General features: G+C 39.9%; 2 annotated features.

Annotated features, from left to right (window-relative positions):
* Positions 14,418-14,919: an enhancer, noted in NCBI's record as "H3K4me1 hESC enhancer chr10:37079549-37080050 (GRCh37/hg19 assembly coordinates)". NCBI's record gives its function as "activates a minimal SCP1, AML or CMV promoter by ChIP-STARR-seq in primed H9 embryonic stem cells {active_cell/tissue: H9 hESC(primed)}" and the evidence as "EXISTENCE:reporter gene assay evidence [ECO:0000049][PMID:30033119]".
* Positions 14,920-15,419: an enhancer, noted in NCBI's record as "H3K4me1 hESC enhancer chr10:37080051-37080550 (GRCh37/hg19 assembly coordinates)". NCBI's record gives its function as "activates a minimal SCP1, AML or CMV promoter by ChIP-STARR-seq in primed H9 embryonic stem cells {active_cell/tissue: H9 hESC(primed)}" and the evidence as "EXISTENCE:reporter gene assay evidence [ECO:0000049][PMID:30033119]".

Here is an 18,478-nt window from a genome sequence, read left to right on the forward strand (position 1 = left end):
TTGGCAAATAATTCCTTCAACATATTAGGCATAGTTATTTTCAAGTCTCTGCAATACATTCTAACACATGAATTTCCTGTGGGTCTGTTTTAGGTTTGTTTCTATTATATATTTTTTTTCTTGGTTTTCAGTTGTGTGAAGTCATGTCCTGATATGATTAAAATTTGGACATGATTAAATCCTGGACATTGATTAAATCCTGGACATTGCATATAAGAAACCATAATATGCAGATCTCAGTAACGTTGTCTTCTTCCAAAGAGAATTTACTGTTACTTCTGGCGAGCAGTTAGAGTAGGGGCAGGTAGCCTCAATGCTAATCAGGGCTGATCCATAGCAGGGCGTTGGAATTTTTTTTTTTTTTTTTTTTTTTTTGAGACAGTCTCGCTCTGTTGCCCAGGCTGGAGTGCAGTGGCGCGATCTCGGCTCACTGCAAGCTCCGCCTTCTGGGTTCACACCATTCTCCTGCCTCCGCCGGAGCTGCGACTACAGACGCCCACCACCACGCTTGGCTAATTTTTTGTATTTTTAGTAGAGACGGGGTTTCACCGTGTTAGCCAGGATGGTCTTGATCTCCTGACCTTGTGATCCGCCCGCCTTGGCCTCCCAAAGTGCTGGGATTACAGGCATGAGCCACCAAGCCCAGCCTCTTTCCTCTTTCTTTCACAATGTATTCGTTGTCTACTCTGTGCTGGTACCTTACATTTATTATCATATTATTTAGTAAAACCCCTCTGAAATTAAAATTACAAACGAGGAAAATAAACATGGAGACTACAAGCAACTCATCGAAATTTGCTTGTGTTCAAATAGGATACCTGAGATTAAAAACCAGAACGTGATTATTTTATTTTCTTTTTTATATTAATTCTCTCTAGTCTTTTTTCTTTTTCACTTTGTCTCTTCTCTCAGTGTTTCAGTCCCTCCTTCCCTTTCCCTTCCTTTTTTTTTTTCCCGTTTCTTTATAACAGTTAAGGAAAAGGTGTGGTCTGAAGACATTTTCAGCCTAGACTCTGACTAGCCAGAATAGCGCATGGGGTGGCCCTGTGATGATCCTCGGGCAGTCTGATGAATCAGGAAAAGGGAGGCCAGATGTGCTACACAGTTCAATGTCTGGCCCACCATCAACCCTTCTCCAGTAAGAGCCGTTTCACATGTCCCTCTCTCTCTCATATCCTACTTTCCCAATTTACCATGTATTTGTCCACTTTTTGCCATCCTCTCTTCGCCTACTTTAGTTTAACTGCCATTATCGTTTGTTTGGAACTACATCAGCCTTCTAAATGTGTCCCCATCTGCAGTTTTGCCCAACCCCAATCCATTCTCCCAACTGCAGTCAAATTAATCTTTCTAAAAGGCAAAACTTGCGTGATGTCACCTGTGTGCCAATTCAGTGGTTTTACGTATCCCTCATGGTAACACTTACCAGGGCCCTGAAGGCACATCACGGCCTACCCCATCTCTCCTGTTACGCTTTCTGCACATTTTCAATAGTGCCCTGTCATCTTCCTAATTGTATTTTGTATTTTTACATACTGTTCTCTCTCTAGAACTGGAAGGTATTTACCTTTTCCTGTTCTATCTTGGGTAATGTCTTCTATTTTTAATACCAACTTAGGCATGACCTCTTCCAAGAAGGTTTTCCTAATAACCAAAGGCAAGATTGGGTAACCTTTCTACAGGCTGCCCTAGATCTCTGTGCAGTCCATATCACCCAGCTCATTGGGTGTTGTCTTCTTTCCCATTTACTTCACTCGTATCTCATTCACCATTATACCTCACAATTAGCATGACATGTAGAGGACCTTCATTGATTGTTTATTTGGTAAATGACTATTAAATGAGTGGTATGAAAATAAATGTGCAGCAAAATACTCATAGTGTGACCTAATTATATGCAAAAAATCTGCAACAAGCACATACATGAACACATACATAAATACAAGAGAATTGGAAGACTATATAGCACACTAGTTATTATAGTTATACTAAAAATATAAGTCAACTGTACCATTCAATCAATCAATCAAATGAAGTAGATTAATCCTGCTCACAATCACATTGGTATCTATACCATATTCTAATTTTACATTACCTGGAGTTTCACATGCTTTTGCATATCACTTTCTGAAGTGGCATTGTACTACTGGGATTTGAGCCTTAATTTGATTTCATAATTTACATTCTACAATTACATGTTAGGTTACTATCATGTTCTTAGCACTTGACTAGGTGCTGCAGTAAAAAGAGATGATTTTACAACTGTTTTTGAATTGCTTGCAAACTTTCGGAGAGAAATAATATTAATAGATAGATAAAATTTAGAATTTTTCTACCAGGAGCTGCATGCAGTTTTATGTAAAATATTAAGAAGTTGGACTTCATATATTTTTAATGCCTCTCCCATTCTGCTTCTGACCCTGCAGCAGTTTCTTCTGATGTAATGTAGATATTTTGGGGCATATAATCCCACACTTAAAAAGAGCCTGAAAGGACTTTAGGGAGGTAATAAACCATTGTTTGCCTGAAGGTCTCCTTCAACATTATCACTAAGTGGCTACATTTTCCAGACTTGAACTCTTTCAGTTACAGGAAGTCAGTGCTTCTCAAGAGTTTCCCACTTTGTGCCTCTCCTGTGTTTTCCAATCACATTGTCAAGAATAAGTGCAATTCTTCTTCCCTTATTGACCAGTGACTGTCTGAAGCTTGCTATTTTGTTACCTCTGAATCTTTGCTTTTTACTGCTATTTAAAAATCCCTGATGTAGACAGGGATTAGTCCATTTATAGGGTTGGCTTTTTGGAATCATATACAAGTGTATTTATCTCCACAATAATTTTTTTCTTCTGGGATTTTTGTCTGTTCTCACTCACAAAAATATTTTATTGGTTTCTAATGATCATATGTAATTGTGTGTGTGTGTGTGTGCACGCGCACACATGAATGTATGAATATTTGTAGTGAGTTTGTGGTAAAAGCATTTTGGAAATATTACATTTTTACTCTATTAATTTGATGACAACGTAATGCAATCCTGTTTATGTTACAATGTGCTATTTGATTTAAAGTTTGAAAAAAGAGGCAATTGGGAACAATTACTCAACAAACTTACTGTGAAAATTGGCTCTTTTTTTCCTATTACTGTGCTTCAGAAATGCTTCTCTTCCTAAGATCCAGTGGAAGTTCAGAAACTGGGAGATAATTGTGTCCTTGGTAGGGACAGAGTGACACCGTGTGGAATAAAACAGAACAGAGCTACCCCATGAGGCAACACATGCTCTCCCCAGAAGAGCACAACTGGAAACAAACCAGCTTTTCAAGTAACTCACCTATTTTTTTCCTAAATTTGCCTTAAATTACTTATTGAAAATGTGAACCAGCAGCAAAGAGAAAAAGCTCACCAAGATGGCACATGCAATTAGAGTGGAATTCATAACATTTTATAAGAAGTATTTTATATTCTACATTAAAAATAAGCTTATTTATTTGCTGTATATCTTATCTTTTAGAAAGATGCTTGTTCATTTAAATGGGCTTACCAAATATTAATCGAATAAAAAATGGTTTGTTATTTGTTTATTCATTATATAAACCATTTCCAAAGAAGAGGTTTCCCTCCCTCCCTTCCTTCCTCCCTCCCTCCCTTCTTTCCTTCCTTCCTTCCTTCTTTCTTTACCTTATGAGGCTCTAAAAAAAAACTTACAACTCAATGGCAATTCAAATGTCTTTAACTCGATTCTTTAAAGAAGAGTGCCTGGAACTAGATAACATGATGAGCCACTGCCATAAACAGCAAAGCTAACAGATGCATACCAATAAGGTTTGCACAATTATTTAATATATTTTGTCATAGTATGAGTCGTTGGAGGAACAAGAGATGTTTGACACAGAAAAGTGTCAATACATTTTAGTTATGTTATGTTTTTATTAACGTTTTCAGGCCTTTAATAAAAAAGAGGGTCGATTTATTCTGTGATTAACAGATAGTACTTATGGGGGTGAAACATTTTAGCAAGTTACAAGAAGTAAATTTTACACACGAAGAAGACCTGTGTGAAATTTAAGTGGTCTGCTCCATCCAATGCCAACTCTAATTAATTGCTAATAGCTGCCTTGAGTACTATGCCTCTAAGGATCTGAGGTCATGTTCTGGCTCAGTGGGTAGTTCTATATTTGAATAGTAAGGCTGGCTTGTGCACAAAGGTGAAGGAATTGGGGCGTATATATCGGGTGTTACCCTTTCTGGCCGAGAGAATACTTGATAGAAATGGGCTTCAGTGGAAAAACTAAGGGACAGAATAGCTTCAGTTTTAGCTTGGCCACGTACATTGTGTAAATTTTCCAAGCCTATTTTCTTCATCTCTAAGCATAGCGCAATAATCTTTATATGGTTGTTATGGACATTTAAGATGTAAAATAACGTGTCTAAAGCAACTAATGCAGAAATGCTTATAAACGATCTTGTGATATGTACTAATAAGTGATAACTATCATTACTCCCTTGTTCTTTTTTTTTTGTTAATTGGGATCATACCTTTAACATACATTTTCTAAAAGTAAATTCTACTTTCTCTTTGAATTACAGTGATTTTCTTGTATGCTTATGGTTATTAGGCATAGGTAAAAATTTTGTAATAAATAAAGATGAAGAGATCTAAGAAGGAAAAATGGAACCACAACATTATAGTATTAGAGAAGCCATCAGAAGAAAGTTTCAAGAGAATGGTCAATATTATAAAATGCTGCAGAGGACCATGAAGGAAAAAGACTAAAATGATGGGGACTTGATAATTGGAAATAACTGATAATCCCAGAGAATGAAATTGCTATTGTGAAATATATGGGAGGTAGAATGTGATTCACCGAGGACATAATGAGTAAGGAGAACATGATATGATAAAATATTAAAAGACTTTTTCCTAGGTTTTCTATCAGAAGCTTTTCTGTTGCACTGGCATGAAGAAGATATTTGGAGAAGAAAATATAAAATAAAATATATGATTAAATTAATTATTTCAGTTACCACACAAAGCTCAGATCAATTCCCCTAATTTTTTGATGAATGCAAAACGATCTATATCTATATGTCTTTTCTGATCTGAAATTGGAAAACATGTTTTTATTAAGAAATTTGTTTTTTTTTTTGAGATGGAGTCTCACTCTGTCACCCAGGCTGGAGTGCAGTGGCGCGATCTCAGCTCACTGCAAGCTCCGCCTCCCGGGTTCATGCCATTCTCCTACCTCAGCCTCCCGAGTAGCTGGGACTACAGGCACCCGCCACCATGCCTGGCTAATATTTTTTGTATTTTTTAGTAGAGACAGGGTTTCACCGTGTTAGCCAGGATGGTTGCGATCTCCTGACCTCAAGATCTGCCCGCCTTGGCCTCCCAAGGTGCTGGGATTACAGGAGTGAGCCACTGCGCCCGGCCAAAAACATTTTTTTAAAAGAACAACTGTAGAGGTGCAGATATTTCTATCAGTTCTCCCGTAATTGCAACTGGCACCTTTTATATGAGAGGAACTCAGGAGAGACTATTTTGAGACCTTATCAGCCTTCCTACAGTTGTGTAATGCTGGAACAATGTGTTTGGGGACCTGCTGTCAGGCACCAGCAATATAGAGGTGGGGAGAGAAAAACAGAAGAAAGTTAAGGGCAGAGTACTTATCGTATGTGCATACTATATTGTTGAAGCTAGGTAGCACAGGGTTGGTATGGAGGGGAAAAGACATTACAAGTGCACTGATACATGTCATCCTTTCTCTTTTCCTTTTTCTCCTTTTTGAGACAGAGTCTCGCTCTGTTGCTCAGGCTTGAGAGCAGTGACACAATCTCGGCTCACTGCAGACTCCACCTCCCAGGTTCAAGTGATTCTCATGCCTCAGCCTCCCACGTCCATTTTATTTATTTTCCAATTTTATTTTTAAGCTTTTATTCAAGTTTTTAGTTTATCATGGTGGAAAGAGAGATAGAAAATAGTTTCAAAGCGAGACCGTGTATGGTGGCTCACGCCTGTAATCCCACCACTTTGGGAGGGTGAGGCGGGCAGATCACCTGAGGTCACGAGTTCGAGACCAGCCTGACCAACATGGTGAAACCCTGTCTCTATTAAAAATACAAAAAAAAAAAAAAAAAATTAGCCGAGCGTGGTGGCACATGCCTGTAATCCCAGCTAGTTGGGAGGCTGAGGCAGGAGAATCGGATGAACCTGGGAGAAGGAGGTTGCAGTGAGCCAAGATCATGCATTGCACTCCAGCCTGGGTGACGAGCAAAACTCCATCTCAAAAAAAAAAAAAAAAATTGTAAATTCTTTAATATCTAAGAGATTTGCTTTCATCTTTGCAAGAAATTTTAGATAATTGTTGATATCATTTTAGTACCCTTTACATAGTGGGGACATACTTATAAAACAAAGACACAGTGAGAAAAATATTAGAATGGTTGATAAGTAACTTACTGTTGCTATCACTAAAATATTCATGATAGTAATTGTTTAATTTACTGAATGTCTTGCACCAGGTCTACTCAGCATCATACAAACATTGTACTTAGAGAATGAATTATTTATTTAATCCTTATAAAATTATTCCGAGACAGATAACAAGTAAGGAAATTGAAGCTCAGCATGGTAGAGAAACTTCCCCATGTTCAGATGGTTTTTAAGTGGTAGTGCTGAGATTCAAACCCACTTCTGTTTGATTCTGAAACACAACTACTGGGCACTGTAATACACTGTGTTCTGGACATGTTATTAATCATGAACAAATAGATTTCAGTAGAAACAGGATTTTTTTTACTTTCTTTTCTTTCTTTCTTTTTTTTTTTTTTGAGACGGAAACTTGCTCTGTTGCCAGGCTGTAGTGCAGTGGTGTGATCTTGGCTCACTGCAACCTCTGCTTCCCGGGTTCAAGCGATTCTCCTACCTCAGCCTCCTGAGTAGCTGGGACTACAGGCGTGCGCCACCATGTCCAGCCAATTTTTGTATTTTTAGTAGAGAGAGGGTTTCACCATGTTAGCCAGGATGGTCTCGATCTCTTGAGCATCTCGTGATCTGCCTGCCTCAGACTCCTAAAGTGCTGAGATTACAGCCGTGAGCCACCGTGCCCAGCCGTTTTTTACCTTTCGAATTAAATCCTAAAATTGGGATTTTTCATTATGTAGTCTAGTTCCTTCATCACACCTCTATGTCAGTGAGTTCCTGGAATCTCCTGCTAGAAAGTTAGTTTACTGAGACTGTCATTAATATGTAATGAATATAATTATTTAAGCCAATACATTTGAAGAATTTAAATTTAACCATACAGTCTTTTAGCAGATAAAGAAAGCAAATTTGATCTCTAAGTTAGTGTGCTCGACATATCGGGAAATTGGAGCCAGGCTAAGCGTAGGGTGCCAGGGCTCCAGGTGTGCAGTCACAGGAGACAGGAGAGACTTGGGAAGCTCCTGGAAGCTGCAGGAGAGCAGGATCGTGGGTATTGCTCACTCTTTCTCTCTGCACCAGGGGGCATTTTCTAATAATGTTTATCACTTCTCTTCTGCCTGGGGTCTCTGAAACATCTTCTCACATTGTGGTCCGAGCTTTGCTCCCACCAGGCAGCACCTATGGTAGATTTCCCTTTGGGTAGATAGCAGCGGCTTCTGGCTCTCGTCATGCTGTTTCCTGTCTGAGTCCTTGCAGCTCTCATCTCTGGACTGCTTCACAACTGAAAGATTGACTCCCCGCTTTTCTACCACCTATGGAAGCAGCTCCCTGAATTAAATTACTTCTGTTGAATGAAATACCTAGTGTGGTTTCAATTTTCATTTTATTTATTTATTTATGTATTTATTTTGAGATGGAGTCTTGCTCTGTCGCTGAGGCTGGAGTGCAGTGGCCTGATCTCGGCTCACTGCAACCTCCGCCTCCCGGGTTCAAGGGATTCTTCTGCCTCAACTTCGCCCGCCACCACGCCCGGCTCATTTTTTGTATTTTTAGTACAGACGGGGTTTCACCGTATTAGCCAGGATGGTCTCGATTTCTTGACCTCGTGATCCACCCGCCTCGGCCGCCCAAAGTGCTGGGATTACAGGCGTGAGCCACTGCGCCCGGCCGGTTTCAATTTTCTTTAATGGATCTTGACAGATACTAAAGCCCTTTCCCAGGTGTTCCCTTTATGTAATGCAGTAATTAAAAGGGCCGTGATCGAAGAAGTATTCAAGTGCACTATACATAGAATGTCCTATGGATAACCTGTGAAGTTACCTATTTTTTTTGCTTAGAATGGTATTACGTCTACAGGGAGTCAATCAGCTGCAGAAAGTGAATGGATCCTTCGAAAGTTTGAGTTGCTATGAAGGGAGACTCTCTGTTCTTCCTTAGTCTCAGAGATAGGAAATAACAATTGCAGCATTAATCTGGACATGTCTTGGGTTTCATATTCCTACACAAATATAATGAAACACCTATTTGGCCGGCATGTAACTTGAGCCTGACTGTAGCGATTAATTTCTGCCTCTGTGTGTTTTAGAGACTTTTGTAGACAAATTAGTAGATGTAAATGAAAGTGGACGGAAATCGTTTGAAATGAGTTGCCTTTAAGTAGTTGTAAAATTAGACTATATAGCTTAGGAGTCCATAAATTTGAAACTACCTAGGCACAGTGCTCAAAATAGGAGCTTGCATTTATTTACAGGTCATAGTTGTGGAACCAAGATTTGTTAAAGTTGCTAAGTTGTTACTTCAAGAGGTAGATGAAGTCTACATACCAGATCTGTATAAACTTTACATTCAAGAGGGTAATCTTAAAATAATTTATCTCTAGCCGGGCGCGGTGGTTCACGCCTGTAATCCTAGCACTTTGGGAGGCCGAGGCAAGCGGATCACGAGATGGTCAAGAGATCGAGACCATCCTGGCTAACACGGTGAAACCCTGTCTCTACTAAAAAAAATACAAAAAAATGAGCCAGGCATGATGGTGGGTGCCTGTAGTCCCAGCTACTCCAGAGGCTGAGGCAGGAGAATGGCGTGAACCCGGGAGGCAGAGCTTGCAGTGAGCCGAGATCGCGCCACTGCACTCCAGCCTGGGTGACAGTGCGAGACTCTGTCTCAAAAAAAAAAATAAATAAATATAATAATAATTTATCTCTACAGATCAAAAATCATGAAAGCATGTATTTTAAACACTCAAAGTTAATGAATGGTTATTAAATACTATAATTCACTTCTGATACTTCCAGCCTGTCCTCTTTCTTATTTTGTCCTTGGTTGGGGGATAGTCTGAGGACAAGGTGTGGGGAACCAAATGTGGAAAAAATTATGAAGAAAAGTTTGGTAAATTTAACTTTTATATAAGTGGGTATATGGAACCTTTTGTTTTTGCCACTTAAGTCATGGAATTTATTCATAAAAAGTAGGTTCTCTATGTTGGGCATGGTGTCTCACACCTGTAATCCCAGCATTTTGGGAGGCTGAGGTGGGCAGATCACTTGAGGTCAAGAGTTTGAGACCAGCCGGGCCAACATGGTGAAACCCCATCTCTACTAAAAATACAAAAATTAGCCCCGGTTGGTGTGGCACACGCTTGTAATTCCAGCTACTTGGGAGGCTAAGGCATAAGAATCACTTGAACCCGGGAGGCAGAGTCTGCAGTGAGTGGAGATCATGGCACTGCACTCCAGCCTGGATGACAGAGCAAAACTCCATCTAAAAAATATATATATAATTTTACGTATATAAAATTTATATATATAAAACAAATTCACAATTCTGAAAACCAGTATGAAATGGAGTATTGACAAGGTTTTGTTTCAACATCACCTGAGCTTTCCATTCTTGACTTTAGTGACCCAGGAATTTCAGTGAAGACATACAAATAGCCTGAAATCTGAGAAAAGTTAATCCTGAATTTAAGCTTAGCCCAAAGAAATTCTATATACTATAGAGGAACAGATGAACTAAATGAATGTTTGCAATTTCTGTTAACAAACGCACATTTGAATTATGTCAGTCTATTAATTCTTCTGCCTTAAATTTGAGTATTTTGATTTTTTTCAAAAATAATATAATCCTCAATAGTAGTTAATAAAGAAAGTCTGAGTTATAGAACTTGTTTTTTAGGGGAAAATTTCTTTCTTTTATTTCAAGCCATCTCCAATTGCCAGAAAAAATAATACTCAGATTTATGTGTTTCTAACTGAATGGTCTCTTTCTGCAATGCCATTCTCCCGCCTCAGCCTCCAGAGTAGCTGGGACTACAGGTGCCCGCCACCACGCCCAGCTAATTTTGTTTTTGGAATGGAAATGCAAAGCTCAAGGAAAACTGAACAGTGATTTACAGCATTTGCATATGCATTTACTATAATTGTAAGAGCAGGGATTTAATATCTGTAGTGAAGTGATACAGAATTTGGCAGGAACAATTAATATCTACTAAAATTTCTAGGTATCTGACAATACAGAGAACATCAAGGTGAAAACTTTGTTCTTCAAACCATTGTTGAGATATAGGAAGAATCAGCCAATTTTTCTTAAAGGGTATCCCACTAACAAACTTGACAGTATTGGTACATTGTCTTCCTTAACAGATACTGGGAGTTAGAGCCAAATGGCTAAGTATCTCCAAACCTAAAAGTTGTTACTCACCATTCTTAAGCCTGAATAAATTTCATAAAACTTGTAAAATTGGTACCTACTCAGTAACATCACACTTTACCCTCCAATAGATTTAAAACTTGTTCTAGTAAAAGTACCCAGCTTCCTTTTTTTTTTTTTTTTTGACAGAGTCTCACTCTGTGGCCCAGGCTGGAGTGCAGTGGTGCGATCTCGGCTCACTGCAAGCTCCACTTCCTGGGTTCATGCCATTCTCCTGCCTCAGCCTCCAGAGTAGCTAGGACTACTGGCGCCCACCACCATGCCCAGCTAATTTTGTTTTTGTATTTTTAGTAGACACGGGGTTTCACCGTGTTAGCCAGGATGGTCTCGATCTCCTGACCTCGTGATTCGCCTGCCTCGGCCTCCCAAAGTGCTGAGATTACAGGCGTGAGCCACCATGCCCGGCCAAAAGTACCTGGCTTTCCCTTTGCAAGAGCATTTCTAGTATTTGAATTAAATCTAATGGAGCCTTTGATTTTGAAGTGCATGTATGAATTAGTAGTATGTCATGAATTGTGATACATTTTAAAACACTGGCTAGCTGTTGGCAAGATATTATCTATGTCTAATTTTCCAAGTCAGGGAAGAATGCTTTCAATTTTGAATTTATGGACAATGACGAATACAAAATACTTTAAATACTTTTTCGTGAATAACCAATAATTTTTTTCTTTTTTCTTCTATTTATTTATTTATTTATTTATTTATTTATTTATTTATTTTTTCTTGAGACAGGGTTTTACTCTGTCACCCAGGCTGGAGTGCAGTGGCATGATCTCGGCTCACTGCAGCCTCCACCTCCCCAGCTCAAACCACCCTCCTGCTTTAGCCTCCCGAGTAGTTGAGACTACAGGCATGCGCCACACCTCCTCGCTAATTTTTGTATTTTTAGTAGAGATGGGGTTTCTCCATGATGTCCAGGGATCTCAGACTCCTGGGCTGAGCTGATCCACCTGCGTTGGCCTCCCAAAGTGCTAGGATTTGAGACATAAGCCACCGTACCTGACCTATTTTTCTTTCTTTTTTTTTTTTTTTTTTCTGTCGCCCAGACTGGAGTGCAGTGGCGTGATCTCGGCTCACTGCAACCCCAGCCTCCCCGGTTCAAGCAATTCTCCTGCCTCAGCCTCCCGAGTAGCTGGGACTACAAGTGCATACGGCCACTCCCGGCCAATTTTTTTTGTATGTTAGTAGAGACGGGATTTCACCGTGTTGCCCAGGCTAGTCACGAACTCCTGAGCTCAGACAATCCGCCCGCCTCGGCTTCCCAAGTTCTGGGATTACAGGCGTGAGCCACCGCACCCGGCCTATTTTGTTCATCTTTTAAAAGCAGGATAAAGTCTGTGGAAAAATAATAGGTAATTCCTTATCTGATGATTATCTGATATCAAGCATTTCTCTTTAGAAAAAAGGATACTTTCCCTACTTTGTTCAATTACATTTTCTCTATTCCCAGCACAGAAAGTGAATTGAGCTTTCTTGTTCAATAATGTCTTCCTTAAGCACAGCTAGTGTTATTTGCTGAATCAGTAAAACGATTTTTGAATTGCTATTTTAACAATGTCAGTAAGTTAGCAAGAGAAGGAATTCTGATCTCTCTATATGAAACATTTACTTAAAATCTCATCAATTTAAAGTTAACTTATAACAGGACGTTCTGGAGTAATATTATATATATTATATTCTTATACCCTGATATGATTTGGGTTTAGGCATATGCATACGTCAGACTCATCAAATGAGATTCATGTATTTTATTGTATGTAAACTTAAGCTAAAAAATGAACTGCAAACAATTATAGAATGCTTTTTTTTTTCTTTTAAGACAGAGTCTAGCACTGTTGCCAGGCTGGAGTGCAGAGACGCGATCTCGGCTCACTGCAACCTCTGCCTCCTGGGTTCAAGCGATTTTCCTGCCTCAGTCTTCCAAGTAGCTGGGACTACAGGCGCGCCACCACTCCCAGCTAATTTTTGTATTTTTAGTAGAGAGGGGAGTTTTACCATGTTGGCCAAGATGGTCTTGATCTCTTGACCTCATGATCCACCCACCTCAGCCCCCTGAAAGTGCTGGGATTACATAAGCCACTGCACCAGGCCTAGAATACTTCTTAATGATATATATGTTAAATATTTAGGGGAATATGTACTACTGTTTGCAGATTATTTGTATCAGAAATGAATAAATGAAGATGGATCAATTGATGGATAGAAAAGGATGCTAAAGCAAGTACAGTTCAATGGCATTGGTAGAATTTAGGAAGTAAATATTGCAAATTCATTGAAAAATTGTTTACTTTTTTTATGTTTAACGTTTTTTACAGTCATATTTAAATATTTAAATTACAATTAAAGAAAAATTGGGCCGGGTGCGGTGGGTCAGGCCTGTAATCCCAGCACTTTGGGAGGCTGAGACAGGTGGATCACGAGGTCAGGCGATCGAGACCATCCTGGCTAATATGGTGAAACCCTGACTCTACTAAAAATACAAAAAATTAGGCTTGGCGTGATGCCTCACACCTGTAATGCCAGCACTTTGGGAGGCCGAGGTGGGCAGATCACCTGAGGTGAGGAGTTCAAGACCAACCTGGCCAACATGGTGAAACCCTGTCTCTACTAAAATACAAAAATTAGCTGGGCATGATGGCGGGTGCCTGTAATCGCAGCTACTTGGGAAGCTGAGACAGGAGAATTCCTTGAACCCAGGAGATGGTGGTTGTGGTGAGTCAGGATTGTGCCACTGCACTCTAGCCTGGGCGGCTGAGGGAGACTCCATCTCAAAAAAAAAAAAATACAAAAAATTAGCTGGGTGTGGTGGCATGTGCCTGTGGTCCTAGCTACTTGGGAGGCTGAGGCAGGAGAATTACTTGCCCTGGGAGGCGGAGGCAACAGAGCGAGACTTCGTCTCAAAAAAAAAAAAAAAAAAAGAAAGAAAAAGAAAAAGAAAAATTACTTATCTACGTATCCCTGAAGAAGCCTGCTTTATTTTTTAAAATTATTTTAAAAGATTTAAAGAGTATGGGGTTAGGCAGGCTACATTGTTTAAGTATCCTGAGATTATATTTTGCAGGCCTAATTATTTAAAAATATTTTCTGAAGGAAGGTAATAAACAAATAAGAGCTTTTGACTTTCAATCTACATGAGTAGCTTTCGCAGGGAGGATTAAAACTGAATTCACATTTTAGTTTCTTGCCCTTCCATCGACCCTAATTTTTAGAGGTTTAGAAATTGGCTACAAAATTGGTTTTGGTGCTGAAACTTGGCACCAAGACCTAAAACCCAAGACCAAGTCGTCATTTTCAGTTTATTTTTAAGCCTTTTGGCAAGAAGTCACAACATTCATTTCTTTGCCTGAGACTGTAATGCCAGGGGATGTCAGGACACAATGTCCCTTGAGCAATATAACAGGAACACCTGCACACATGTGCAGTGAGATGATGATCTTCTACGAGTCCAAAAATGTTTAATTAGGAATTCAGAAATAAATGAGAATGTAAATGTTTATGTAGGAGGTATTATTCTGCTTCAGTTTTGTGAGATTCTCCATGGATGTATGAACTTCCTAGCCAAGGATTCGAAATGTCAACACCTTTGTTTGCAATCTTACTATATTTCTGTATGAACATTTCAAAATGAAGGGGAAAGATTGTAATATTAATTATTTGTGGATTCAGGTGGAGAATGTAAGGAAGTTATTTCTTCTGATTCATTTCTTTTTGTTCTTTTCTATTTTTTAAATTTGCATATTTTGCTATTTTTCCCATTGACACTAACACTACTATTTCAAGGAAGTCTAACTTTCAGTTTAATTTGGCTCGTCTCAAATTCAATCATTTTGTGGTTTTTGCTCCTTTTCTCATATTTATTGACAGTTTATATTTCTGAACATTAACCTTTTATGTTCCATCTCAGTATACATCTCAGAAGCTCTGGATAAACTTCCAGATTAGGCTGGGTGCAGTGGCTCACGCCTGTAATCCCAGCACTTTGGCAGGCCAAGGCAGGCGAATCACCTGAGGTCGGGAGTTCGAGACCAGCCTGATCAACGTTGAGAAACCCTGTCTCTACTAAAAATACAAAATTAGCCTGGCGTGGTGGCGCATGCCTGTAATCCCAGCTACTCGGGAAGGCTGAGCCAGGAGAATTGCTTGAACCTGGGAAGTGGAGGTTGTGGTGAGCCGAGATGGCACCATTGCACTCCAGCCTAGGTAACAAGAGCAAAACTCCGTCTCAGAAAAACAAAAACAAAAACAAAAAGGCCGAGCGCAGTGGCTCACACCTGTAATCCCAGCACCTTGGGAGGCCCAGGCGGGCGGATGGCCTGAGGTCAGGAGTTTGAGACCAGCCTGGCCAACATCGTGAAACCCCGCCTCTACTAAAAAAAATATAAAAATTAGCCGAGCATGGTGGCAGGCGCCTGTAGTCCCAGCTACTCGGGAGGCTGAGGCAAGAGAATCGCTTGAACCCAAGAGGCGGAGGTTGCAGTGAGACGAGATCTCGCCATTGCACTCCAGCCTGGGCAACAAGAGCAAGACTTTGTCTCAAAAAAAAAAAAAAAACTTCCAGATTAAAATGCTTTTGTTTTTAATACCATATAGTCTCACTCAAATGTGGGAGCTAAAAGGAAAAAAGTGAACACATGAAGAGTAGAATAATGGTTTTCAGAGACTGGGAAGGGTAGCAGAGAGGAGGGGACAAAGTGAAAACGGTTATTGGGTTCAAAAATACAGTTACATAGAATCAATTAGATCGAGTATTAAGTAGCACAATAGGGTGACTACAGTTAACAATTCATTGTATATTTTATGTAATTAATTAACTTATTTATTCATTTATTTTGAGATGGAGTCTTGCTCTGTCGCTCAGGCTGGAGTGCAGTGGCACGATCTCACTGCAGCCTCCGCCTCCTGGGTTCAACCGATTCCCCTGCCTCAGCCTCCTGAGTAGCTGGGACCACAGGTGTGCACAACCACACCCGGCTAATTTTTGTATTTTTAGTAGAGACAGAGTTTCACTATGTTGGCCAGGCTGGTCTCAAACTCCTTATGTCAAGTGATCCACCTGCCTCGGTCTCCCAAAGTGCTGAGATTACAGGCGTGAGCAACTACACCCGGCCCATTGCATATTTTAAAACAATGAAAAGAATAGATTGGAATGTTCCTAACACAAAGAAATGATAAATGCATAAAGGAATGGATATTCCAATTACCCTGATTACTGCGTTACATATTATATGCCTGTATCAAAACATCGCATGTACCCCGTAAATATATACAACTATTATGTACCCATCATATATATATTTTAATATATATATATTTTAATTTAAAGCGCCTTGGAAAGACTAGCCTCGTACCTTGTCTATATGATTCCCTTACAAACTTCCTGTCCTTGTGGTAAGTAAAGGATGTCACTTTCTGGCATGCCCAGGAACGTTAAGATATTTGGGGATTGGCCAGGCGCAGTGGCTCATGCCTGTAATCCCAGCACTTTGGGAGGCCGAGGCGGGTGGATCATCTGAGGCCAGGAGTTCGAGACCAACCTGGTCAAAATGGTGAAACCCCATCTCTACCAAAAATGTAAAAATTAGCTGGGCATGGTGGTGGGCGCCTGTAATCCCAGCTACTCAGGCTGAGGCTGGAAAATTGCTTGAACCCAGGAGATGGAGGTTGCAGTGAGCCAACATGGTGTCACTGCACTCTAGCCTCAGTGACAGAGTAAGAGTCTGTCTCAAAAAAAAAAAAAAAAAAGGAAAAAGAAGAAGATATTTTGAGATCTAGAGTAAATTCACCCAATTTGTACAGACATTGCAGGCACAATCTGATGGCAGGTCTTTGGCTGAGCTTCTTGGCCTAGAAGTTTTTAAAGGTCTAATCTGAACTTCTTTATCAAAGTTCCAGCAAAGGTAATTTGAAAGGAGCCTATATTGCCAATCACTATTCTTGCTGCACTTTATGCAAATAATCAGGCCAAGTATAATAAGACTAAAGCTTATTTCGCAAATAAATTGGTCTTACTCTGAATTTTCTTTTGTAGAAAAGGGGGCTGGGAGAGAGAAAAAAATTGTTGAGAAGACAACTGTAGCACACCTGTTACCAGGTTCTAGTCCAGACCATTGTTTTTGAGGTTTTATACTTTTCCTACAATTTGAACTGAATCCTGAGTTACTTCTTGGCAACAAAAAAGTCTCCAATGAAAAAAAGGGGTTTTAATCTTCATGATGTTCTCTAATGGAATAAGTCTTTTTTTTTTCATTCTGTAATCCTTGTGCACTATTCAATTTTTTTTTTTTTGTTTTCTTTTGAGTCAGAGTTTCACTCTTGTCGCCCAGGCTGGAATGCAATGGTGTGATCTCGGCTCACCGCAACCTCCGCCTCCCAGGTTTAAGCAATTCTCCTGCCTCAGTCTCCCTGGGATTATAGGCATGTGCCACCATGCCTGGCTAATTTTATATTTTTAGTAGAGATGGGGTTTCTCCATGTTAGTCAAGCTGGTCTCAAACTCCCAACCTCAGGTGATCTGCCTGCCTTGGCCTCCCAAAGTGCTGGGATTACAGGCGTGAGCCACTGCGCCCGGCCTCTACTATTCAAGTTATTAACGTTGTGTACCTCTCAATGTTTTACATCTTCTGATAAAATCAAAATCATGGTATTCAGAAGACTAGAGATGATTCAACCAAGCCTGTGAATCTCCCTCATTTAGAATCCCGCTGGGACCAGATCTGTTCTCCTTTGCCAGTGCACTGCTGCTGAAGCTATCCAGTATCAAGCACCCTCCCTCTAGACCCAGGGACTATCATAGAAGAGATGCGTGTGTGAGATTGTGTGGCCCAGTTTCAAGGGGTGAGAGTAGAAAAGCAGCCTGTTGCATGGCAAGACCAATGCCATTTGAAGTGAAACCACCATGATGAACAATGTTACACCCTTGCATGGTGCAACTTCACATGTGGCAAGGTCTTGAAACAATTCCTATAGCATATTCTGCCTCTCATAAAGATGCTTATCTAACCTCCCCAGGGGTCACAAGCCTTACAAGAACATCTGAGGCATGACCAGATGCACATGTTGGTACTCTTAAGAGCTTGCTATCTAAAGGGTACTTTCTAGAGGGTGGGTACAGGGATCCACCATCTCTCAGCCACCAGGGATATCACTTCTTTTCACAACTTCCTATTAAATACTTATTTTTTGATAAAAAAGTGCTTTTCTCTTTGGCAACAGATATTTATTAAGGATCTTCTACCAGTTCTAAATTGGGTAGGAAACAAAATATTAATCCAGAAATAGGTTTTCTTCCCTAAGATTTTACCCAGAACAATAAGCCCAAGTAAAGACAAAAGCTAGAGAGAAAATAGAAAAGCAATGAGTTTGATGGTCCTTCTCACTCAATAGATATTTAGTTAACACTTCTGAGTAGCCAGTCCTGCATGAAGTGCTTTGCATGGAAATACAAAAAGAAAGAAAATATAACTTCTATATTTGAAGAAGCAATAAACATGTTGTGCAAATTGAATAAACAAGTCTCTTCATACCTGGGTTGAGATACACACTTGGAAGTAATCAGCAAGCAGGTGGAATTTGCAGGGTTTCTGGTAAGAATTTGCAGAATGGTGAAAAGTGAAACCTGGGAATAAACACGAGCCACTAATGGAGCAGAGAGAGGTGAAGAGGAAGCAAGGAGAAGGACCTTAAAGAGTGCTGTTAAGTATGTATAACATTGATGATGACTGAACTGATTAAGCAGTTACTATCTGCCTGATAGGAAGTATATAGGCATCATTTTGTTTAATATTGAAACAATCTCATGAGGCAGGCACTATTATTATTATTCCATCCATTTTACAGACAACAGAACT

The sequence above is a fragment of the Homo sapiens genome, chromosome 10 (assembly GCF_000001405.40).
Source record: "Homo sapiens chromosome 10, GRCh38.p14 Primary Assembly".
Taxonomy (NCBI): Eukaryota; Metazoa; Chordata; class Mammalia; order Primates; family Hominidae; genus Homo; species Homo sapiens.